The sequence below is a fragment of the Homo sapiens genome, chromosome 13 (assembly GCF_000001405.40).
Source record: "Homo sapiens chromosome 13, GRCh38.p14 Primary Assembly".
Lineage (NCBI taxonomy): Eukaryota > Metazoa > Chordata > Mammalia > Primates > Hominidae > Homo > Homo sapiens.
In genome coordinates this window covers 92,526,260-92,554,247 of record NC_000013.11, presented here as the reverse complement: position 1 = coordinate 92,554,247, position 27,988 = coordinate 92,526,260, and the positions used below count along the sequence as shown (strand labels likewise).

General features: G+C 33.5%; 1 protein-coding gene and 1 long non-coding RNA gene across 3 annotated transcripts in view; one reads left to right on the top strand and one right to left on the bottom strand.

Annotated features, from left to right (window-relative positions):
- Positions 1-27,988, bottom strand: part of GPC5 (glypican 5) — a 1,468,617-nt gene that overhangs the window by 312,990 nt on the left and 1,127,639 nt on the right. The window lies entirely within an intron of this gene.
- Positions 17,725-24,936, top strand: LOC124903190 (uncharacterized). The gene is made up of 2 exons (XR_007063832.1): positions 17,725-17,779; positions 22,164-24,936. It is a non-coding gene; the product is annotated as an uncharacterized LOC124903190 (long non-coding RNA).

The window sequence follows — 27,988 nt, the reverse complement described above, 5'->3', positions numbered from 1 at the left end:
TTTGATTCAAATGTAACTTTCCAGGCCATTGGTGATATGGCTATTTTGATGAATCTGTAAACTATTTGAAATGTACAACTTCCACCTTTGTTATCAAATGTGAGCATACTGTGTCTTAACTCTTCCTCTTACTCTGCCCCTTATTGAACCATGATTGTGGGCAAATTTTATTTTGCCTTCTCTTGTATATTGTTTGAATATGTATGCATAAGTATATGAATTATACATCTTTTGTAATCAGAATAAGAGCTACAAAAATATTTTTACTATTTTGGTTAGGACCATATTTGCCTCTGAGAAGGAATCAGTCATGTTGTCAAATGACACCATCATAAATGTGTGATGTCATTAAATATGAAGTATGTAGATTATGAGATACATTGGGCAAACTGTTAAAAAGTTAACTGAGGAATTCCTGTGGATTCTGGAGAGAAAAGCAGGACTTAGGCTGTGACCCACATAAATTTTTCCATGTTTGTATAAAGTTGAAGAAACTAGAGATTTTGAAAGACAAACCATTCAAGGCTCTACAAAGTTGTCAACTGATAAAGAGCACTTTTGCTCAGAAAGATTGAGTCATCTGGTTTGATCATGTGATTTAGCTGTCAGACAGTTCCTCTCTGTTCCCTCGGCTTCGATATATTCTGCATATCCACCTTCTACGGCCCTATATGGTCCCACACTCAGGGGTTGAGTATGGCTTGAGGATAAAACTGGGGACATTACCATATAAATTTATTGAAAGCTTACATTTTGTATAGATTTGTATCATAATGTCTACATGTCAAAAGGGCTACTTCCAGGTATCCAACTCAAATTCTAAAGTTTCTGACATTACAATAGCAATACCAAAATAAGAGTTTAGTTGGTTGGTACAATCATCTAGGTGAGAAATTATGAGGACTAAAGTAATACAATAATGGCATAGGCAATGGAACAGAAATTAGTTTTGGGAACAAGTTAAAACTAGCAGGTTTGATAATGGGCTAGAGATCATATTGGATATGATGGGCTAGAGGTTGAAGTCAGTATTATCTAACAGGTTTCTGTGTTGGAAGAAAAGTTTTCTGAAGGTTGTATTTATTGATATTGAACAAGAAATGCAGAAACAAATAGCAGAAATAAAAATGGTAACATCAATTATGCAAATTTTGGCCTTATGTTGCTCATGGGTGGAAATGATTAGGAGGTATGTAGATACCTATTCTAGAAATCAGAAGAATAAAATAGACTGGAAGTATCTATTTGGTCTAATCAAAACAGTCATAAATAAAGCCTTCAGAATATAATTAGTTCAGCCATGGAGAGTGAATAAAGTGAGAAGAAAAGAAAGTACAAGTGAGAATCTTTAGAAGTAAGAGAGAACCCTTTGAAGAAGACATAGAAGTTTCAAATTAGCAAGAACAGAAGGATAATCTTGGAAACTAAGGACATATCAATGAAGGGAGTAATCAACAATGTTTAATACTTCAAACAGGTTAAATTATTTAAAAAGTAGAAAAGCATTTCTTGGACTTAGACTCCAAGTAGACACAGTGAAAGAGCCAAGAAATCTACTGAGTACGTGAGTCCAGGATGGAGAGATCACTGAGTGGAGAAATCAATGCAGAGCATGGAAATGAAAGAAAATTAATTCAAAGTGTTGAACTAACCCAAAATTCTTTTAATATTCATGACTTCTTCTGAAATAATTAACATTTTGATGTCACTGGCAAATTTGAGCCTTAGCACTGGTTTAGTCTTTAAGCTATTTTTTTCCATTTATCTTCCCCTTACAAAGTAACTTAGTTTTATTTTAATTTTCTTGCTCTTCAAATATAAAATTGACTCTTCTTAAATTTTACTAAGTGAGAAAATATGATTCCTGCAGATACCACAAATATCTTATCTGTTGTTCTTCTTTTTCTTTTTTCTGTTAATCCTTATTTTGTGACCTCTCTCTGAGACCACATATGTGCTCTTAAGGGCGAGGACTGTAACTTAACTTCTCTCAGTATTTACAGCACTGGAAAAGCTGCCCCCATTTCAATATGGCTTTGTTGAAATGGAAATTTTTGATAGTCATTATTCTCTCCCTTCACTCTTCACACTTACTTTAAATTAGTATTTCCACGATGGTTTTGTGAAATATTACACCAAATTCTCAAAGTTAAAAATGGATTTTCATTAAACAAGTTTGGGAAACAATTTACAGTATTTTGCTTTTTGGAGATTTCTCATTTTACATTATTAGCACAGTAACATCTCAGAGAAGTGCTGACTATTTTAGTATGTTAAATTAATGCATATTAGTATCTTGTAGTACTAACTGGAAAATTATAAACTCTTTAAACAGCTAAAAGTTATTTCCAGTTTGCCCTTCAGGGAAAGTCTCAAGAGACTTGCTTGACTTCTTTTCTCTCTCTCACCAACTGGTCTAAATTTTGATTAGTTTTCTATTTCCATGGAGAGTTTCATAATTCCTTTTTCTGTTTGTTTGTTCTTCTCACATTATTCTTGCACAGGCAGTATTTCTTCTTACACCTCCTACCTCCTACTGTTTCTCAATACCAAATGAGCTTAACATCTAGACTTCATCTCAAGATCCCTTATGTTTCACCCCAGTGAAGCAATTTTCATGCTCTGCCACACCAAATCTAAATCAAAATAAAAACAGGTTGCTTTCTTCTTGTCTTTACACTAAGCATTTATCTGACTCTTAATAGCTCCTTCAGATGAAATTATATTCCTATGTGCAAGTAAATTATGGGAATTCTCTGTTTTTGCAAAGTAAATGACTTTGGAGAAATTTCTTAGTTGCTAACCATCTCAAACTTCACTGTTATTCAAGATTTTTTTTTTCCTTTGAAAATATCTGGTTAATCTGACCAATTCTGACTTTTACAAATTTAAGGAGACTTTTGATATCTCAATTTTTATTTAATTATTTTCGCTCTCTTTTTTTTTTTCTTTTTGGCTGCCTGGTTTTAGATTACCAGTGTCTATGGCAATTGTCATAGTTTAGGTGAGGGAGGGACACAAAAAAATCTTAAACTATCACACATTGGCCTGCACTGTGTGCTTCAATTCTGCAATCTTTTGGTTTCATAATGTAAAGAAATTATCTCTGTTTCAGAATACAAATAATTCTGGTCCTTGGAACATAACTATGAATATAACTAATACTCACAATTATCACAAAATATCAACAGCATTGTCAGCATTGTTTTCTGCATCTTCTGTGCTCAACATGCTAGTTAAAGCTCTATTTGATTATGTTCCAAGAGTAGATGTAATGGAAGTCCAACTCAAACATCGGTAGGGATATTAATCCTTTGGCTTTTTCTAAAAGATGAGCTTAAAAATAAACAAACAAACCAAGGCAAGATAAAAACAATAAAAACAGATGGGCATATGTTTGTTTTCTGCCTCACTGATCCAAATATTATCAGGATAATAATTATGTTGTATATGCTGCTGTTGTTGCTGCTGATAATGATGTATACACATACTGATATATCTTTCCAAGCGCCATCAATCAAGTAGTTTTTACATAAAAAAGAATTGCATAAATCTTCAGTGTACCTTTACTGAGTTTTGACAAACATGTATACCTAAACATGAGTCAAAATATAGATTCCAAACAAGTTTTTTAATACCCCTTTTTCAGGTCTTATATAGATAATACCTGCCGTTGGAATATGTTACTTGACACATATTTCTTTACTTTTGGCCTCTGGATCCTGATTGAAAATCAAGACAAAAGAGATCCATTTTGATACCCAGTTATTTCTGTAATTTGATAAAATTAATTTATAGTCTCACCCTCACTTCATACAGGCCATAAATTTAATAGATATTACTAACTACTCTTCAAAATGACAAAGGTATTATCAGAGACATATATACTGAATAGAGAAAACATAATTCTTTGGGGCTAAAGAGCTCAATCCCATGGAGTAATTTAATGAATAATGTAGGTTGTTGACCTGGATAATAATGCTTCCTTCTTGCTGAGAATGCATTAAAACATTAGCTAAGATTCTTATATGTTCATTTTTAAAATAATAGTTCTATTATTGGAATCAAATAATACATAAATATACATCTAAGTAATATAAATGGAATCAAATTACATGTAGAAATAAAAATTTCACAACCTATAGATTTAAAACACTTAAAATCAAAACCCTGAAAATAAAAACTATTTTATTTCTTTGAAGAATAGATATCTCTGGCTTAAGAAACAGGGGGAAACATTCAGTATACTTGAATTATAGTTATCAGTAATATTATATGTTACAGATAAATAGCTATATCAAGCCTCCAAAGTATACAAAAAAGAATTGTGTGTGTGTGTGTGTGTGTGTGTGTGTGTGTGTGTATGTGTGTGTTTGGTAAAAGAAACTTTCCCCCTTTTACCCCTACCTTCTTGTCTAAAACTCTTATTTAAAAGAGAGGTTTATAAAAATTACTTGAAATCAGAAAGTCAAATGAGAAAAAGGCAAACTGTTTGAGGATGTAAAATGGAAGGATACTTTCTCCTTAGCAGATTTAATTTTCTCCTCTGCTGTAAATGGGCAATAAGTACTAGTTTGTTGTTATTTTTCTTGAAGGAGGCATTATTCTCATTTGTTGAGCATTCAAACATTATATATACCAGTGCATGATGGCCATCCATACAAATATTAATTCATTTCAATGCCAGGATGTGGCATGAGACATAGTGAAATATATAGATACATGTTAAATTGACTTGGCTTTGGCTCAAGTCTCTGAACAAAGGTTAACTCTGCCTTCAAACCCATAGAGAGAACAGCTTGCAAAGAGGTAGGCCCCAATTTGTTTTGCTTGAATGTGAATTATTAACTTCAGCCAAAGATAATTTTTAAAAAGAGGAAATAAAGATCTTTCATAACCTGCAGCGTCAGAAAAATAAAAAAGGTTTTCTATCTCTGTTAGCATGACTAAATAAGTAATTAAGCCACACAGAAATTAGTGGCAGTTTAGTAGGTATGGTTCCCTTTCCTATTTTTTCTTTGATCTGACATGTTGAGTCAGAAACAAGTATAATACTCTTATCTTTGCAGAATGGACCTTATTCAGTAAAGCTCACAACTTAAAGAGGTCCCTATAGTTAGCTGATTGATTTATTCATTCTCTATCTTGTTTTTACCTATTTCAAAAATGAGAGCACTCATATTTTAAATATAGCCAGAAAAAATAGTGGGTATTAGAAAGGCTGCCCATTGGAGATATTTTATCATCTATTCTAAATGCTTATCTCTAAACTTCATGTATATTGTACCACCTGTCACCTTCAGTATTTATAGTCTTTTTATTGTTTTTATTTTTAATTTTGTGGGTACATGTTAGATATATGTATTTATGCGGCACATGAGATGTTTTGATACAGGCATATAATGTGAAATATGCACATCTTGGGAAATGGGTTTCCAATTTGTAGAGCAGACTTGATATTAACAAAGTAGACCAAGAAATAAAACCAAGAAATAGGAGTTCTGGGAAAAGTAATGGAAAGGTTAAGGTATTGAGATTACACCATATGAAGAAGAAAATATATAAGCAAAGTGGGGATAGTTTTAAACTTTTTATGTCTTCACTTTTTCACGTAAAAATTTGTATATATTTGGCTTAGTACACAACACATTTTACTCATACTATTTCTAAATATTGTAATTATCATTAATTTTTAAAGCTCTTGTGTGTGAAATTTGACAAACACCAGAAAGAAAGGCTTGGATATTTTATTGCTATCAATTATTAAAATAAACATTATTGTTATTTGTTTAGGATAACTTAAATATATTTTATATATTTAAAAACATAATTTGTTGGTTGACATATATATTTATATAATTTATATTTTTAATATACAGGTATTGCCTAGTATATGAGACCATTCATGTCATTTTGATAACATTAATTCTATAATTCTTGCTTGGTATATTTACTTTAAATATTTTATTTTCTTCAATTAAAAATGATGATTTTTCCCACTTAAACCAACCACGCTTTTTATCTTCAGTTTTTGTGTCCTTTGCCTGAACATAGAAGTTTACAGGTGGATCTCAACTTTTGTATTCAATTTTAAAAGAATAATAGCCATGGCCGGGCGCAGTGGCTCACGCCTGTAATCCCAGCACTTTGGGAGGCTGAGGCGGGCGGATCACGAGGTCAGGAGATCGAGACCATCCTGGCTAACACGGTGAAACCCCGTCTCTACTAAAAATACAAAAAAAAAAAAAAAATTAGCCAGGCGTGGTGGCGGGCACCTGTAGTCCCAGCTCCTCGGGAGGCTGTGGCAGGAGAATGGTGTGAACCCGGGAGGCGGAGCTTGCAGTGAGCCGAGATCGCGCCACTGCACTCCAGCCTGGGAGACAGCGAGATTCCGTCTCAAAAAGAAAAAAAAAAAAAAAAAAAAAAAAGAATAATAGGCATAATAAGTTTTCTTTTTAATTTTTGATGTTTTAACTAAAAATAATTTCCCATTACCAACAAGGAACTATGAATAGAATACAAAGATTTTTCACAGTTGGTTTTATGCCCTCTTGCTTGGAGGCAGGTTTAAATGCTAAATTGCTATATGGCTTTCAAAGAAGAATAGATCTTGAAAACCTGGCTGTCTGGGGCTATCCTATTGGAGCATAATTAATGTATCCAGTCTGAAGTTGACAGGTACACAATGTATAAGAAGATAATTCCTTTAAAATTCTGCTGTTTTACTCCTGGCAACTCATTTTGAGCTTTTCCAATGAGTCACTGAAGGAGACTTCCTTCCGTCCACATCTGCCTCCAGTGACTAAGTCAGCTGAAAATAAACAGGTAAAAATACGTCATCTGAATCAACTTTAGGACTTTGTGAATAGCAGAAAATTTGGAGAAATGTTATTCACAGATAAAGTCTTTCTTTGCAGTTAATTTTTTCTCTAAAGTACTTCGAAAAAATATATTCCTTCACTGATTCAATGTTATGTTTATTATTATTTTAGGCCATATTTTTCAATTCTCTTTTTTAAAAAGAACTAAAATTCATTTTCACTAACATTAATATTTCCCTTTTAATCTAATTCCTCTTTCATTTTGTCATTTAAAAACACTGACACCAATCTATTTTCCCCCAAATGTGAATGCACCTAGAATCATAATGCAAAGATATCTTTTGAAATAATAAAATTTCTTGGGTTTTTATGGTTTTAGGTCTAAAATTTAAGTCTTTAATCCATCTAGAATTAATTTTTGTATAAGGTGTAAGGAAGGGATCCAGTTTCAGCTTTCTACATATGGCTAGCCAGTTTTCCCAGCACCATTTATTAAATAGGGAATCCTTTCCCCATTTCTTGTTTTTGTCAGGTTTGTGAAAGATCAGATAGTTGTAGATATGCGGCATTATTTCTGAGGGCTCTGTTCTGTTCCATTGGTCTATATCTCTGTTTTGGTAGCAGTACCATGCTGTTTTGGTTACTGTAGCCTTGTAGCATAGTTTGAAGTCAGGTAGCGTGATGCCTCCAGCTTTGTTCTTTTGGCTTAGGATTGACTTGGCAATGTGGGCTCTTTTTTGTTTCCATATGAACTTTAAAGTAGTTTTTTCCAATTCTGTGAAGAAAGTCATTGGTAATTTGATGGGGATGGCATTGAATCTATAAATTACCTTGGACAGTATGCCCATTTTCACAATATTGATTCTTCCTACCCATGAGCATGGAATGGTCTTCCATTTGTTTGTATCCTTTTTTATTTCATTGAGCAGTAGTCTGTAGTTCTCCTTGAAGAGGTCCTTCCCATCCCTTGTAAGTTGGATTCCTAGGTAATTTATTCTCTTTGAAGCAATTGTGAATGGGAGTTCACTCATGATTTGGCTCTCTGTGTGTCTGTTATTGGTGTATAAGAATGTTTGTGATTTTTGCACATTGATTTTTTTATCCTGAGACTTTGCTGAAGTTGCCTATCAGCTTGAGGAGATCTTGGGTTGAGACGATGGGGTTTTCTAGATATACAATCATGTCATCTGCAAATGCGGACAATTTGACTTCCTCTTTTCCAAATTGAATACCCTTTATTTCCTTCTCCTGCCTGAAGTTGCCCTGGCCAGAACTTCCAACACTATGTTGAATAGGAGTGGTGAGAGAGAGCATCCCTGTCTTGTGCCAGTTTTCCAAGGGAATGCTTCCAGTTTGTGTCCATTCAGTATGATATTGGCTGTGGGTTTCTCTAGAAGAAAACCTAGGCAACACCATTCAGGATATAGGCATGGGTAAGGACTTCATGTCTAAAACACCGAAAGCAATGGCAACAAAAGCCAAAATTGACAAATGGGATCTAATTAAACTAAAGAGCTTCTGCACAGCAAAAGAAACTACCATCAGAGTGAACAGGCAACCTACAAAATGGGAGAAAATTTTTGCAACCTACTCATCTGACAAACGGCTAATATCCAGAATCTACAATGAACTCAAACAAATTTACAAGAAAAAAACAAACAACCCCATCAAAAAGTGGGCAAAGGATATGAACAGACACTTCTCAAAAGAAGACATTTATGCAGCCAAAACACACATGAAAAAATGCTCATGATCACTGGCCATCAGAGAAAAGCAAGTCAAAACTACAATGAGATACCGTCTCACACCAGTTAGAATGGCGATCATTAAAAAGTCAGGAAACAACAGGTGCTGGAGAGGATGTGGAGAAATAAGAACACTTTTACACTGTTGGTGGGACTATAAACTAGTTCAACCATTGTGGAAGTCAGTGTGGTGATTCCTCAGGGATCTAGAACTAGAAATACCATTTGACCCAGCCATCCCATTACTGGGTATATACCCAAAGGATTATAAAACATGCTGCTATAAAGACACATGCACACGTATGTTTATTGCAGCACTATTCACAATAGCAAAGAATTGGAACCAACCCAGATGTCCAACAATGATAGACTGGATTAAGAAAATGTGGCACATATACACCATGGAATACTATGCAGCAATAAAAAATGATGAGTTCATGTCCTTTGTAGGGACATGGATGAAGCTGGAAACCATCATTCTCAGCAAACTATCACGAGGACAAAAAACCAACCACCACATGTTCTCACTCATAGGTGGGAATTGAACAATGAGAACACATGGACACAGGAAGGGGAACATCACACACCGGGGCCTGTTGTGGGGTGGGGTGAGGGGGGAGGTATAGCATTAGGAGATATACCTAATGCTAAATGACGAGTTAATGGGTGCAGCACACCAACCTGGCACATGTATACATATGTAACAAACCTGCACGTTGTGCACAGGTACCCTAAAACTTAAAGTATAATAAAAAAAATAAAAAATAAAATAAAATAAAATCTCTTAACTCTCAATGAGAGTTTTTTAACTTTACCCCCTTCATTCACATAAAAAAGGAATAGATGATCCTAAAACAAATGAAGAAATTATCTAAATAATGTGGAAACTAAATTTCAGTGTCAAGCAAGTTATTTCAGCTCACATATTTAGTGTAGGCTTCTTTCCAAATAATAAAATGACCAAAAAAAGAAGAAATAAAAATAAATTATGTTTCACTACTAATACAACAAAAAAATTGGCCCTAGATTAGTAGGCCCAAAACGAGGGAAGAGCCAGCTGCTTCATGGAATATTTGACACATGTGTTGGGAAAACAAACAAACAATCAAAAGCCACTAGGGTTATAAGACAGTAAGAGCTGAGAAAAAATAAAATCAAAACAGAAGATAAAAACCATCAATAATAACACCCAAATAATGTCTCTTAAAAAATTGTCACACAGAAAATTCCTCCAGGTCTATTCTCGCAAGAGGGCATATTTAAATACTCCTTTGAGCAATGTCACATTTTTATGAGACAATTCCCCAAGTGGGCTTTTGTAGCTACAAAAATGTTAAGAAAACACCTTTCTATTAAATGCCAATGTATTTCCAGAGTCTCTATGGGTCTGGGATGAGGCTTCAGAAACAGTTTGCTCCTGGCTTTAGCTAGTGCCTTTCAAATGCTTGTTTTCTGTTAATTATCACAACCAGGATGGGTGGTGATGGAAATACTAAGCAAGTCTACAAGTGAACCCAACATCATGGAAAACTGAGGTTACAAATCACACCTCCCTCTCAAACCAGGTTTGGTATAATTAACATTTTATATTAGTCAATATGACCAAGGAACTTCAGTTACTTAATATACATTCACTATATCAAGGGTACTTCTATTTGGCATTTTGAAATTTAAGTTTGGCAATGTAGTATTTAAAAAAAAAACAACAAGCAAAACAAAGCAATATAGCCCAATAACATAACATTAGCATGTATTTTGATATGTATTCTGAAACTGGAGAATCTTGTGCCTAAACTACACATGAGATGCATTTTTATGTTGCAAAGTGTAAACTGCAATAGTTAAAAAATAACACTTAAACGTTTGTCAATTTTAAATATATAGAAAGAGTTCAAATATATTGAAAAGATAATATTTAGATAAAAAATTTTAGTCTTCCTTGCATTAAAAAAATAGAAAATAAACCTTCATCTAATATAGCTATATTCACAGCTATAGCTGCGCACTCTCTCCTGTAAAATCAGTGCCTTGGCAGAGACTCTCCTTCTATCCTTCCCAGTAAATCTTGTACCCTAGACTTTATGCTGAAACTGAAGTGGCACCCTGCATCCTAGGAAAATGGTGCCATTGTCACTGAGAGTAGTCATATCCCCTACGCCTGAGCTGAAGCAGTACCCTACTTTCTGAGAAACTAGTACCTTGGATACCCAGAGCAGTCACACTTCCCCTACATGCTTAAGTCACCAGAAAAAAAACATCAAAATAAATATTTTAAGGAAACTCATTGAGACACAAGAGAATACAGAGACAATTCAACAAAATCAGATAAACAATTCATGATCTGAATGAGAAATTTAAGAGAGAGAAACAAATTGTGAGTTGAAGAATTTCATGAATAAAATAAAACACACAATTGAGAACTTAAAAGACTAGATCAAGCAGAATAAAGAATTTCTGAATGTGAAGACAGGTATTTTGATATGACACAGACAAATAGAGAAAATGAATTTTTAAAAAATGAAGGAAGTCTATAGGAGTTGTGAGACAGCATAAAACAAGCAAATATTTGTATTACAGGAGTTGCAGAAGATGAAGAGGTGAGAAAAGGCATGCAACACTTATTTAATGTAATTAATACTGAAAACTTTCCAAATGTTGGGAGAGATATGGGCATCTAGATTTAGGAAGCTCAAAGATATGCTAATAGATTCAATCCAAAAAGGTCTTATCTGGGGCATAATATAGTCAAACTTCCAAGACAAAAAGAGAATTCTAAAAACAGCAAGAGAAAAACATCAAGTCACATATAAGGGAATCATTAATAGACTAACAGCAGATTCCTTAGCAGAAAACTTACATGCCAGGAAAACATGGAATTATATATTTAAAGTACTGAAAGCAAAAAATAACTGCCAGTCAAGAATACTGTACCTAACGGGAATACACTTCAGGAGTGAAAGACAAAGTCTTTCCCAGACAAGCAAAAATTGCGATTATTAATTACAAGTAGGTTTGCCGTACAAGAAACGCGCAAGTGAGTCTTACATCTGGAAGGGAAAAGACAATAATTAACATCGTGAAAAAATGCAAAAGTATATAAAACTCATTGGTAGAGCAAATACACAAACGAGAAAAACAAAGTAATCAAAACTTATAACTACCGAAAACCACCAAATTGCAAAGATGAACGATAAGAGATGACATTATGTCAAGGGAAATGAGCCAGGCACCGAAAGATAAATACTACATGTTATCACTCATATGTAGAAGCTGAAAATGTTGATCTCATAAAAGCAGAGAGTGGAATGGTAGTTTCTAGAGACTGGGAAAGATAGGTGGGGATTCAGGGGAATAAATATGGTGAGGTTGGTTAATTGATATAAAATTACAGCTAGATAGGAGGAATAGAGTCTAGTGTTCCATAGCACTGTAGAGTGACTACATTTAACAACTTAGTATATTTTCAAATAGGTGGGAGAGAGGATATTAAATGTTCCCAACACTAAGAAATGATAAATGTATGAGGTGATGGATATGCTAATTACCCTGATTTGATCATTACACATGGTATAAAGCTATTGATACATTATGCTTTATTCCAGATTATATACAATTGTTATGTGTCAATTAAAATTTTAAAAGTGGAAATTTATTATAAAACAAAAGTAGTTAAAACAGACCCTTTCTGGTGCAAGAACAGAGAAATAAATCAATGGAAGAGAAAAGACTTCAGAAGTAGACCTACAAATATTTAGTCATTTAATCTAACATAAGCATGCCACTGGAATGAAGTAAAAAAAATAATGTCTTTGGTAAATGGTCCTGGAGCAACTGAATATCCCTGTGGAAAAATTAAAATGAAACTTGATTTCTAATTTACATGACACAAAAATGAATTCCATATGGACTAGTAGACATACATGCGCAAAGTAAAAACAAACAAACAAAAAAGTTAGAAAATAGCGTAGGAGAAAATACTCATGAGGCTGGGATGGTCATGAACATTCTCCAAAAACACTTTTCATAACAGAAAACATCAATAAAGTAGGTTTCATTAAAATTAAGAACTTCTGTTCATTAAAAGACACAATTAACACAGCAAAAAAAAGCTATTTCTAGAGCAGGGTGTTAACAATGTAACTAGTATCTAAAATAAGAAAGAAAATAGAAAATCAAATGAAGTTGAGTAAAAAGAATTTAACAGGCACAACACAAAGAAAGGAACATGCAAATTATCAATGTATTAACTTTTCATGCAATAAGTTGATTTTTTCTCAAATTATATGTTTTTATTTCATCCAAGTTTATGTTTTTAAGTTCTTATTTCCCCGTAATAAATACATTTTCATATAATATTTTTAAAATACTGGAAAGTATTGCATAGATACAAAACCATTCATCTTGTAGTACCTTGCCAAACACCATAGTAACACCCAAGGGATTCAATTTCTACATTTTCATGTACCACCTTACACGCATTTCAGAAACATTTTAAAATACGCTTGTGGTTACTAAAAGATTTTTTACATTTTTTCTATTTATTTAATACTGTAAACTCAGTATTTCTCTATACTATGCCATAACCTTCATAAACATTATTTTAAAATTAACATCATTATAATAAACCACATGTATATGTCCTTATTTACTTGAATCTTCACCTGTTATATCCAATATGGGAATCTATGAGTTCTATGAGTGTTTATGTAATTCTCTACATTTACATTTTAGAACCAGCTAGTATTCCCTGCTAGTCCACCTACCATACTTCACCCAATGAGGTAACACTGCTGGTCTTCTTGGACATTAGTGTTCTCATTATTTTATTAACATGATTACCATTCTGAGGTTTTGTAAGGACAATGGTCATACAACAAAAGTAAAAGTTCTCTACAGTGTAATATACATGTTGTCATTAGATGATATTTTCCCTAGTCCCAGAAGTATTTATCATTATAATTTTGTATAGAGGGCATATGTAGCCATTAATTATTTTCTACTCAAGTTTTCTTCCACAAAACCTTCCTCCTCTTTTTCCTAATCAATGAAATAGTTTTGAATTGGACCACTGGTTGGCCATTCCAAAAATAAGCTGGTCAAATCAATTAATAAATTACCCCAGACATTTGCGAATGGATCCAATTTTGTAAAAATAGCTTAGATCAACTTTAAATGTATTTTTAAATAACATTATTAAATATCAACGGTAAGAAAATAACTTGTATCCCCTATCACCAAACGCTAATATTTTATCACATTATTTTTTCTTTATTTAATTCACAACTCCTGATTATACTTTTCTATAGGACCACTATTATCGTATTCATATTTATAGTCATCTAACACCTTAAGGCACATCTCATGCAGCTAGGAAGCTACATAGCAATTGCTTTTATTTATGTGTTGAAAGAAGAAGAGAAAAGCACTGAATAGCTTTGTCTAAAAATGTTTTCTTCATATACGTTGCCACATTATTCATGATAGAGCTTTTCATATTGATGAACAGATATGAGCAACGCTGGAGATTTTTTGGTTTATTTTAATCTATATCGATATATTGTTATTTTGCAAATCAAATGTGGAAAGGCCCCAACATCTATAAACAGTCACATAATGAATATGAAAACCAAAGTCAGTTAATCTAAAACTAGTGATATAAGGTCCTTAAAAGTGCATTCTTAAAGAAAATGTTTGTTTCTATAATAATATAGAAAATTCAGAAAAGAATCTTACCATCAATTACATAGACTTATTAATTAATTCTAAATTTTTGGTTCTTTGATTGGATTTAAGCCAATGAATTAAGAAAACTGGGGGGTGGCAAAGAATTACTAGCCCCAATGTACATCCTTCTCAAAATGTTTAAGCCAGGGAAAATGATATAGAAGACATGATCAAAATGTGTTCTGTGAAGTAAGTGCATATAGAGAGGTGAGTACCAATATTACCAAGATACTGGGGCAAAGGAGGCTATAAGGAGGCAAAAGAAGGGGAAGGTTGGAAAGGGAAGGATGGAAAGAAAGAGAGACAGAAAGAAAAAACTATCATCAGAGTGAACAGGCAACCTACAGAATGGGAGAAAATTTTTGCAATCTACCCATCTGATAAATGGCTAATATCCAGAATCTACAAAGAACTTAAACAAATTTACAAGAAAAAAATAAACAACCCCATCAAAAAGTGCACAAAGGATATGAACAGACACTTTTCAAAAGAAGACATTTATGCGGCAACAAACATATGAAAAAATGCTCATCATCACTGGTCATCAGAGAAATGCGAATCAAAACCACCATCAGATATCATCTCAACCAGTTAGAGTGGCGATCATTAAAAAGTCAGGAAACAACAGATGCTGGAGAAGATGTGGAGAAATAGGAACACTTTTACACTGTTAGTGGGAGTGTAAATTAGCTCAACCATTGTGGAAGACAGTGTGGCGATTCCTCAAGGATCTAGAACTAGATATACCATTTGACCAGAGATCCCATTACTGAGTATATACCCAAAGGATTATAAATCATTCTACTATATACCCAAAGTATTATAAATCATTCTACTATATACCCAAAGGATTATAAATCATTCTACTATATACCCAAAGGATTATAAATCATTCTACTATATACCCAAAGGATTATAAATCATTCTACTATAGAATAATATATATAAAATATATAAAGTATATATATATGGTATATATATATATACAAGGTATATATATATGGTGTATATATATATACAAGGTATATATATATGGTGTATATATATATACAAGGTATATATATATGGTGTATATATATATACAAGGTATATATATATGGTGTATATATATATATACAAGGTATATATATATGGTGTATATATATATACAAGGTATATATATATGAGTTCATGTCCTTTGCAGGGACATGGATGAAGCTGGAAACCATCATTCTGAGCAAACTAACACAGGAACAGAAAACCAAACACTGTATGTTCTCACTCATAAGTGGGAGTTGAACAATGAGAACATATGGGCACAGGGAGGGGAACATCACACACCGGGGCCTGCTGGGTGGTGAGTTGCAAGGGGAGGGATAGCATTAGGAGAAATACCTAATGTAGATGACGGGTTGATGGGTGTAGCAAACCACCATGGCACATGTATACCTATGTAACAAACCTGCAAATTCTGCACATGTATCCCAGAACTTAAAGTGTAATTAAAAAAAAAAAGAAAGAAAGAAAGAAAGAAAAAAGAAATGGGAAAAAGGAGGAAGAGAGGTAGGGAAGAAGGAATGAAGGAGTGAAGCAAGAGAGAGGGAAAGAAAGGAGACAGAAAGAAAAGAGTAGGACAGGAAGGAGGGAGGTAGAAAGGGATAGATAAAAGGAAGGAAAGAGAAGGGAAGAAAGAAAAAGGAGGAAAAGGGGAGGAGAGAAGGAAGATCAGGTGGGGAAAAGAGGAGAGGGAACGGAAGTGGAGGACGAGGAATAGATAATCCATTTTTACATACGCAAAATGTGGTTACTCTAAACAGACTAGTTTGGAAAATTTCAAGTTATTTGGTGAGTTAGCCTGGTCTAATGAAACTAGCATCAGACAGGGAGTCAAAACACTTTAGTTGTAGTTCTAAATAGGTCACCAGCTTCCAGTGTAATTTTAAAGAAATGTATTAACCTCATTCTTCTTTAAGCTTCTTAACATGAAAAATTAAATGTTCAGACCAGCATCTTTAAGGTTCCTTCTAGCCTTAAAATCCCACCCTTTCAAAAATTTCCACAATAGGAGACACATTAAGAAAAAAATTAAAAAGACTGAGACAGTGATGCTATTAAGATGAGATTTATTCAGTGTCTTTATAATTGATTGGATTTATAAAACGCCTTCCTCATGCAACTAGCGTCAACTTTGTATCTTAAGGTTTGTTTGACTAAGGAGCTTGGAATGAGCTTCTCACTTGGTATGTCAGCAATGAGACAGGGAGATGGATAATATACTCTAAGGCTGGCAGGATTTTGACATTCATTACCAAAGATGTTGCTGTTTATGATATCTGTGGGAGAGCTGTAATGTACTAGTACACCTAGGAGACTGGTTGTAAACTTATATTAGGCAATCAGGGAGATGATGATAAACACTACTTGAAAGAAGCTAGTGACATGAACATATTTTACTCAATACCTGGAATACAAGAATTCAGATAAGCCTGTGCATATGTTTAGCTCTGACAGTGGAATTTATAGTCTGTGAGTTGATCAAATCACATAAAAATTAAAACTCCTTGAAGAAGTCAGTTGTCTACTTTTACTGATCACTTGAGCTATATGGTGCAGTTAGAGTTGCCTTTGAAATCGAAAGCATTTATTTAAGCCACAGATAAAAAGTTGTTCTTAGGAACCTTTCAGTCACAATTTCAATTATTTTCTGACATGATAAATTTTCTTTCACAGATGCTTATACCAACTACACTATTGTAAATCTGCACTTGAAAAATGCTTTAATTTTTAACTTTGAAATATGCATTCAGATATTTACATTTAAAAGATTGTTTACGAGTTGCTAAAACATAATGTAAATGAATACCTTTTCTTCATACTGCTTTAGATATGGAATTTTAAATGTGGTAACAGTTCTTAGAATACCCCTTAATTGTAAGCTAAAAACAAGGAGATATAAACCTTTTCAGAGCTAACAACTGCAACATACCTCATTACATATTTTCTTTGATAAATATGAACAAAGCAGAAGATTTGAAAAATGCCAAGAGATCAAAACTTACAAAGAATTAGACAGACATATACACTAATAAGCCTGCATAACAAAAATAAAAGATTAAAATTTGATATATTGTATTTGACTCTTTTTTCTATCATTAATGTATAAAAAATTATGATATTAATACATATACAATTTTATGGTCTTTTTGAATTAAATTTATACCAAAAGACTTTGTCCAGATCATCAGTCTCCAAAAACCATGATATTCATGGTTACTCAAGGCTATATTTGTAGATATGCCATAATTTAACAATTTCCCTACCTGAGAACACTTGCTTCAGATTTTTGTCATTATAAACAACACCAAAATGAAAATCTTTGCTCATAAACTTTCTTTTCATTTTGTTTTTCCCTCAGGCTGGACACCTAGAGTGGGGTTATGGAATCTAATGGTTTACATTTTCTCAGCGCCACCTGTATAAATTACCAGACTGCTTTCCAATCCAGGAGAGGTGAGAGGGCCTATCTCTGAATATTCTGATCTTTGTAACAAAAAGTATGCTAATTTAATTAAACTAGCACCTTGTTCAAATCTATTTCCCTTTTATTAGTAATGGAATTAACATTGGGTTCTTCTACTTTTTATTGGTATACATCTTTCACTCATATATTTACATATCTGTGTATATATTCAGTATTTATTAAAACTATTAACTGAATACTATCGGAAATGTAGCTGACATGGATAGTTGGGAACTATAGTCAAATGATTTTAAAAATGTTGCATTCTACTATCTGCCATGAAGAATAATACCGCATATTGGTGTACGAAAGGCTTAGAGACGATGCACATTAAATAACCTTGAACATTACTTAGTAAAAGACACCCAAATATATTGTAACACTCATCCATTTTTCATATAATAACTATTAATATTTCTGGTAAGCTAATGTTACATGAAAAATATATCCTGAAAATTCACTATTAAATATATCTGCTGCTTGTCTAATTTTTGCAAACAGTTTTTCATGTTTGCATCTTAATTTAATACATATTTTGATTAAGATAATCATGATTATCAATGCTCACACTACTCCATTGAGGTGAGTTTTTATATTGTCCTCAAACTTGCTATATTCCAACATCCATGCCTTGTTGTTTCCATTTCTAATATACAAGTGCAAGGGAATGTGGTGTTTCTTAGAATGAAATTTCTAAGGCAAATAAAAGCTATGTGCAAAGTAAGTTATTGGCAAAGAGGATCATATGAAAGCAACCCAATAGTCCCACAGACTGGTTGTTTTTTTTTTTAATAAACATAGAAATGGACTATTCTAGTCTTAAAGCTTAAAATTTCTATTTGTTTGAGTTCCTTCCTCAAGAACTTATTCTGAGGCCTCTCAAAAAGTGTCAAAGAACAGAAACCCACCAAATCACTGCCTCCAATGAGATGCCAGAACCCTCATTCATCACGATTGCTTCTGGACCCCCCCTTAGTTCCTGTTTTCTTTCCCTCTATATAAACCACTAGTTTTAGTCAGTCAGGGAGATGGATTTGAGGCTGAGCTCCAGTCTCCTGGGTTGCGGCGCCTGATGAAAGCCTCTTCCCTGGCAATAGTTGCTGTCTCAGTGATTGCCTTTCTGCGCAGCAAGCAGGAAGACCTAGACGGAACCCTTGGTGTTTTGGTAGCGTGTGCATGAACTGAAGAGAATGATTAATTAACAAAGAGTAGAATGAAGCAGACATGAGAAACATATGGACTCAGAGAAGAAACAACAAAGGGAGAGGCCACAGCACCATAGGTCTTCATGGCTTACCCCATGAAGCCCAGCCACATTCCTGACCATGGAAGTCTGTGACATTTCCCAGAATTATTCAAAGTAACCCTCTGAAACTAACCTAATTTAAATGGGTTCCCGTTCTTTGCAATTTAATGAATTTTGACTAGAACTCTAATAATACCTCATTTGACTCTGTGGGCCAGAATCGAGCACAGAAAGATTCAGTCTAAGATCAAGGAAATGATTACATAGGTATCGTTGGAAGTACAACTGAAAACTAATATGGCTTTCTTCCTTAAACCTTTGGATGTGTTTGTTTCTCCTTTCCTATCCTCCTCTAGCTATTATTTCTTGTACTACATGTTTTGACATATTGTTTTTATCTTGTACCATTCGTGAATTGTTTTATATCTTAATACATAATCCTTTTAAAAATTTAATTTGATACCATTTCATTTTACTGCTTAATTCATATTTTGTTTCCTCTACTACTTGTAAGCTTTTTGAGTGAAGAGAAAATATCACACAATCTTATATTTTTCCATATATGAAATACTCAGTAAAAGCTACTTGAATTAATATTTTGCAGTAAAGGTCCAGGGAATTTTCCCACCTTACTAAAAATTCCATTTTCTACCTAAAAAATCTGGTAATGATTCTGCCTTCCATTAAATGCTGTGAAATACATGTAGAATGTTATGTTTGAAAAATGCTGTCTAGGAAGTTACTGTTATGAGGCAGAACACATATAAAATACATGATTACATGCCATCAACCTCCTTTGCCCAACTGTTTTGTCGCTGTTCTTACTTGGTGCAGAAGTATATTCTTCCAAGGTGAAAGGCCTTGAGAAAGGAAAAAAGTTGTATAGGACACAACTATATTTTAAGGAACTTGACTTCTGTCATCTATTTATTGGAGACAGAGTTGCACTCTGTCACCCAGGCTGGAGTGCAGTGGCATGTTCACTGCAACCTTTTCCTCCCAGGCTCAAGCGACCATCCTATCTCAACCTCCCAAGTAGCTGGGACAACAGAGTGGCACTCTGCTCAGCTATTTTTTTAAAACTTTTTTATAGAGATAAAATCTCACTATATTGCCCAGGCTGGTCTTGATCTAATGGGCTCAAGTGATCTTCTCACTTAAGCTTCCCAAAGTGCTGGGATGATAGGCATGAGCCACCTCATCAGGTCTCTTTCTGTCATTTAGTATCAGCGCCCAAGTAGTATTGGAGGAAAAGGCTTTGTTATGAAGAAAATTCACACTTTTAGTTAGGTTTATGAATTGCAAATCTAACTTGTGTGAAAGTTTTATTAATAATGTAAACAGTTCCAATCTTAAATATTCTCCAAGGACCCTGAAAAAGATGTGGTTCCTATAATAAAAAGGAAGGAAATAAAAAAGTTGAGCCCGCCATCATGAATTCCCATTAATCTTACTTTCCTCTGTCTAGTCCTTTTGCTCTCACAAAGCAATGGCTTTGATACCAGAATGTATTTCTTCTGATGAAAACCTACCAATGAGATCTTTTCAAACATACACTTACCCTCTATTTAACGCTATGGGGCTTGAGTTTCTGCCGAGTATGTGTTAAACCAAGACATGGGGCTGAGGAGATACCTGTTTTAGGTACCAAAACTCACTCTTATGTAAAAAAACATGCTTATATTTAATATCCAAAGCTATATTATACGGGTTTCAGCATAATATGTTAGCTTCTTTCCTTCAATACAATGTTTAGACACAATAATAACACAAGTAAATGAATATTCCCATTATAAAGAAATGTTCTGATGGTAATGTTAATGAAGAAAGAATTAGAAGATTTAGGAAAAAAGTAAAGAATTGAAGGGGCATTTCACAATTTATCAAGATATGCTTGCTAGCTCAAAGAAAACAGATGAACATACAAAACCTACAGTATGAGAACATACAGTGAAGTAAAATAAAAGTGGAAGTTAAGTTTACATTTGTACATGTATTTTCACCATACATATTTTATTTAAAAAGTACTTTTAAGGTAAATGGTTGCATATTAAATTGTTTTTCCCATTGGATTCTGTAATAAAATTTGAAATAAATTCCTATAATAAATATCAAGAAGAAATGAACCAACTTTTTAAAACTGCATTTATACTGAAGAATATATTTTTTCCATAAAGCAATAATAATTATTCTGTAATTTGTCATAAAATGAGACTGTCATATAGAAAGGATTATGTTAGTACTTGCCAAATTAATAATAACAGTTTAAAAAAATGTCAGCTTAATAAAACTGCCACTTAGGATCTACCTAAACCCACATTGTTTTGACTGTTTATAACTCTGTTTGTTATATGTTCTTTCATTTTGCAAAAGATGTTCTTTTTTACAAATAAATTAGTGTATTGGGCCCTGAAGGAAAGTGAAATAAGAATGTTAAATAACCACTCTTGAAAATATGAATAAGCAATGGAGAGGTTTGGACCTGAAACCCCAGTGAAAATAACTAAGTCTTCATATAGTTCATGCTATGTTACCATAATTTTACAAATCCCTGAATAAGCCAGATTTAGAGATTATAAAATGAAAAGGAAAGAGATTAGACTTCAGTCTTTTGGGGGATCCTCTGATAAGTGAAAAAAAGAATTGGTGCCAGCTTGCAGCAATCCTATTTGGTGTCACATACAGTGTTTTGTATTTCTTTGGGATTTAGTAACCTACATTTGGATATTATACTATTTTGGCTGTTCCATAAATTATAAGCCACTTACATCATCTTTTGTCTTTCATTGAAATCTACTGCATGAAATATTTTTATTTATGATCATCTACTCCTCCTAGAAAGTAAGTTCAATGAGATTAGCTTGTTTTCACGATTTTAATAATCATCAATGTCTAGTTCACAGTTGGTATATAATATATATATTGAATTAATGAATGAATGTTTGAGTTATGTGTATGATTGTCTTACTGAGGTCAAAGAGCTAAACTGCAGCCCTGTGGATAGGGATTTTTCCCTAAAAGAAATTGTCATTTGTGTCACTCCTGAGGAATTAAATGGGGACTTAAGAAACAGGGCAATAGAAACTTCCTCTTTTCTGTGGAAGTCAGTGATAGATTTTTATTTGCAGGCTGGAGATATGGATATAAGGGATGAGCCACCTGCCTTTAATTGGAAGTAGACCCAGGGTGAGAAAAAGAAGCAACCATATAAAATTCTCTAAAGTGCATCTGGGGAGGTGCAAGAGTTAACAGGTAACTTAATGACACTGTACTATCCAATGTCCAAATTTGATTACTTTTAAATGAAAAATGTCAAACTGATCTCAGTTGGACTGTGTGAAATGATAACCATATTACTCCTACCCTTAGGACAACATAATTCATGACAAAAACATTATATAAAAATGGTAGTATATCCTTCCCTCAGGAAACCAGAGAGACGGCACCGGCCCTGATCGCTGACAGTGGAGATCAGTACGCATAGAATATCAGTCTTCGTTGTCAACAGAGGCAATGGAATCCTATGGAATAGGAGCAGAAGAGTTTGAGGAATGGTTTTTGAACTGAAGCAAGGCAGAGCATGTGGTGTGGGGAACTCATTTCTGGCAAGATCTGATGAAGGTGATCATAAGATTTAATCTGTTTATACAGACACATACTGTATGTATCTTTATATATAAAAAGATGCATATGTATACATATATATCTGTATAAACATATATCTCTTTATATGAATATATATACAGAAATATGTATATTTAGTGTATTAGTTTTACTGGATTGCATACAATGAAATATATTTTTTCATATTTCTCTCTATATATTTTAAATATATATATTCATTGTAGCAATCCAGTAAAAGTAGTATATCCTAAAACTAGTGATCTATTCAATATTCAAGCATGTATTATTCAGTTTTAGATAGCCAAAATCTCTGTTGTGACAATATTCTTACCTAATATTAATATTTTATTACATGGGTATGATTGCTTGAGATCAGTGAGATTATGGATGGCTCACATTAACTTATCAACTGTCAGAGTAGAAAAAGAATATAGGCTTTGGCTTCAGAAAAAAATCTGCCAAGTTTCAACATCTAAGATGTGGTACAACCAGAAAGATTCTACAATCATAATGAAAGCCTTGATATTAGAAACTTCAATTTCTGTCATATTGTGCTAAGGATTTAGGTATTTATATTACCTGCTCAGTATTCGGGCTTTTGCTATAGAGGAACGTAACTACTGAAGGATTTAAGCAGAAAGTGACAGGATCATGTGTGCTTTTCAAAAGATCACTTGGGAATCTATATGGAGATCCCTGGAAAGCATTCAGAGGAAGATCGTCATTTATGTAATGATTCACCAAACTCAATTAGAAAGAGTAAGAACCTGAAATAAGGTAGCAGTAGGAGAGACATACAGAAATGTGCACAAGTATGAGTTCTTAAGAAGGTATGGTGGAAGGCATTTATTCACACGTGAGGGTGTGAAAATGGTGTTGACATAGGAAAAATAAAGAACTCAACCCAAATATTTTACTTAAATTGGAAACCTTGAATGTTAGAGATAATGCCTTGGGCCTATCAAACCCTTTTCCTCTTCGGTACACAAGTAGACTGCATTTCCCAGGCTTCTGTGTACTTGTCTGAAGCCACAGGAGGGAGTTCTAACCAATATAATTGGCTGGAAGTACGTATTCTACTTTCAGATATGGAAAAAAAAATAAAAACAAAACAAAAAAACTTCAATGCCATTCTTCATGTTTTCTCTTTTTTCTTGCCTCCACTGGCTGCACTGACAAAATACAGTGGGGAACTCTGAGGCTTTAGTGGGTGGATGGCAGTGGCACTACATGTGTCCTTGAATAAATGCAGAGAGCTGAGCCCTCCCCTCCACCCTGACCCTAATCCATATGCTCTAAATTGAACTAATGCGTGATGAAAAAAGTAGCACTTTTTAACATGGAAGCTCCTAAGATTTCATTGTGTGTTTATTATATAATAGCTCACATCCCAGTCTAAAATCTGTAAGTGTTCTATAAATTCTCCAGTAATGAGAAATTTGATACGATGCTTAGGACAATGCTGCATATTATTATTTTGTTGTTTTGTTCTGGGTTTTTTGTTGTGAGACAGGGTTTTGCTCTGCCGCCCAGGCTGGGGTGCAGTGGCACGATGAGAGCTCACTGCAACTACCTCCTGGGCTCAAGCCATCCTCCCCCGCCTCAGCCCCCAGAGTAGCTGGGACTACAGGGGCGCACTACCACGCTGGGCTAATTTTTTAAATTTATAGTAGAGACGGGGTTCTTCCATGTTGCCCAGGTTGGTCTTGAACTCATGAGCTCAAGTGATGCCCCCGCCTCGGCCTCCCAAACTGCTGTGATTACAGCTGAGAGCCATCATGCCCAGCCATATTTATAACGTGTTGTTAATTTTAGTGCTTAATATGACTAGTTCTATGGTGTGATCATAATTTTTCTTAATATTTGTGTTGTATTTGTAAAATTCTAGGTTAAAAGTGTTTTCTTATATAGTTTAGGAAGAATATTTAAATGATGTAAGTCCAGCTGAGAACTGTGATCAGAATTCTGGAGGTTGGAGTGGGCAGAGCAGCTAAATAGCAGGTTACTTGCCAGCTGGTTACATTACTATATTAGATTAAGCCACCTAAAGACAGTTACTATTCTTTAAGGTATTTTTGTAGCTTATGTCATTATGTGTGTTGCTGATTTGATCATTAATTCTTCAATTACTGGAGATTTGATATGTAAAAATATGTTTATTATAAGACCTTAAATAATATTCCATAATATCTTTTTGTGTATCTTGGTATTGGAGTTCATTTGTTTGCTTTGTACAATGTAAAATCTTCAATAAATCTTAAGGTGAAGGCTGTTTTATTTTCATAGATTCAATGTCTTTAAGACTCATCCTAATTGCCATATTGAATTCATGCAAATTATTGATTTGAGGCCCTTTGCACTGAGAATTTTAAAATATTGGGCAGGAAGGCAAAATTTTAACTGTTTGTTAAAATATCCTAATCTGCATTACATATCTTTTCAATTAACAACACAATATTTTGAACTCTTGTTTTTTTATGAAGTATTCTAAAAAGCAAGATTCAGTCTTAAATGTTCTACCTTAAAGAGAGCATGCAAATATAATTGGCAGATAATAATTATCTTTTTTTCCAATGTAAAATGGATTGACACTGGTGCAGTAATAATGCAGTACATCTTACTTTAGCTAAAATTTACTTCATTAGATTTTCACAGTTCTTATCCTGCAAAAGACATAAGTTGTAAGCTTTATGATCATTAATAAGTGCCTATTTATTTCAAGAAAATAGTCTAACCCTATTTTATAAAAATTTTATAAAATATGGGTACCCTATTAAGAAAGAATTATTTTAATGACATATTTAAAGCACTACTAAAATAGAACTCAATTTTTAAACTGCTTCTGCTTAAAGAACACTTAACACTTGAACATTTACCTTATTAAATTAAATTTAAAATTCATGTTACAGTCCAAAAGTTCCTTTCCTTAGAACATCTATTAGGCATTTATTGAAGACAGTGAGTTAATTTAAGATTTTAATAGATCACTTCATCAAGAAATATACTATTTATATAAATCACTTAAATTTTGATAGGTCCTGAAAAGCTTAATTCCAATACATACCTTATCATTTAGAGACAGAGATACTAGACATTAATATAAATTGTATCCCATAATAAAAAAAGAACACTCTGTAGTTAAATTCTAGAAGGAATGTCATAAAAATTGACTTATCACAGGGTTCTACAAGGCTTCTTTCATAAAATAACTCTGTAAGCTAAGCCAATTTTTATTCTGATTGGCATGACTTACATTAGTCAAAAGGACCTGCATGGCCAAAATCCTCTTTTTTAAAGTTTATAAAAATGCAGCCAAATGTTAATAATTCCTGGAAAATTAAGACAATCAGAAATAGAAATAACGGGTAGCAGATTTAGTACAGCATTCCCATACTAAAATGTACAGTATTTTACAGTTTTTGCAGAAGCTCAAAATTGGCACTATTGAGCACAGAGACTGCCTTTATTGGATATTTTAGGTTTCAATTCTCTAGTGATTAGCATTTTTGGAATAGACAGATATTTCAATCATTTTTTTCCTAAGTTTCACATTACGGTGACAATAAAAATTCAATTTTTATGCTCAAAATTATTATTGAATGAATCAACATTGGAATAGTGGTGGGTAACTACCTAATGATAGTTTAACTATTTTCATTAAATTCAGGGGAAAATAGCTTTTATATCACAACTAAGTCACACTTAAATATTTTCTTTAACCAGTATTTTTCTTATCTATTTGTAGCTTGAAATTAGTAATTTTCTCTGTGTTATAGAAACTAATCTAAACCTAATGAATCAAAGTTAAGAAAAATTTAGTATTTAAGCTCATGAAAGTAATGCATTTAAAGGCTGTTCGAAAGTGTCTTAGTGGAAGTGGTTGCAATAAGTTCTATTGAAAATACTGATATTGAGATAGCAGCTTTATAAACTAAGCTGTTTTCTTCACAGCAAAATTTAATAAGAGAGTTGTAATAACCATCTCCACCTCCTTCTTCCCTCCCAGTTTTTTTGTACTCACTCTACCTGACATTACCTATCCATTACTGCCGTGATTTTACTCTTCTCAAGCTCACCGGTGACCTTTGTTTTTCCAAATGCAACAGCCACACCTTACCCCCTATTTTACTTGTCCTCTTAGCAGCATCCAACATGATTGACAGTTTTGGCTATTAACCATACTCTGCTCTTCTATGATACCACTTCTAAAATTTTTTCATGCTGCTTGCCTTTTCCTCCTCTGTTGGACGCATAAATATGGTAGGTCCCAGAGTTCTACTTTGGGCTCTCTTTGCCTGTTGATCTTTTTCTTTCTTTCTTTCTTTCTTTCTTTCTTTCTCTTTCTTTCTTTCTTTCTTTCTTTCTTTCTTTCTTTCTTTCTTTCTTTCTTTCTTTCTTTCTTTCTTCTTTCTTTCTCTTTCTTTCTTTCTTTCTTTCTTTCTTTCTTTCTTTCTTTCTTTCTTTCTTTCTTTCTTTCTTTTTTCTTTCTTTTCCTACAGAATCTCATATTGTGGGATCTTTAGGTTTAAATATTTACTCTAAATTTGTAAGTCCAGCCCTGACCACTCACTCAAATTCCAGAATTATATTGCCTTAAATTTAGCAAGCATGAGTGAACACATCTCTTGATTCTTTCTTACACTTGTTCCTCATCTGTACTTTTGCATCTCCGTCACAAGCACAGTTATTAATATGTACCCAGTTACTCAAACTAACAGTTTAAGGTTATACTTAACTTCCTAGATTTCCATTATATTTAATACCAAGCTCTTCAAGATATCTTGATAATTTTAAACCTAAAACACATTTCAAATCTTTCACTTGTCTATACTTACTTTAATAATAAAAATAATATAAATATTATCTCTAGTCTCCTAAAACCTCTGAAGTCTTCTAATTGGTTTTCCTGTTTCTATTCTTTCCTTGGTATCCATCCCCCTAAAACATCCTAAGTCATGGCTAAAAGGTCTGATTAGGTCATCTGCATTTCTTCTTTAAAATCCTTCTATGTCTTCCCATTTTTACTTAAAATAAAAGCAACATTCCCTACCCTTTAAGGTCCTACCTTACAAGGTCCTGTGTGATCTGGCTCCTGCTCTCCTGTCTGACTTTTCTCATGTACCCCATTACACACATCTTTCACCCACACTGGACTTATTTCTGTTTTTCAAATATGTCAAAATTCCTTTTGGAGTTGGGGGTCATGACACTATCTATGGAGTTAGTGAGTGCCAGGAGCACTCTGACCTCAGGTTATGAAAGCACAAATTTGTTAGCATTAATTCTCATTCACTGACGACCTAATTGGCCTTTCTGTCAACATTTATCA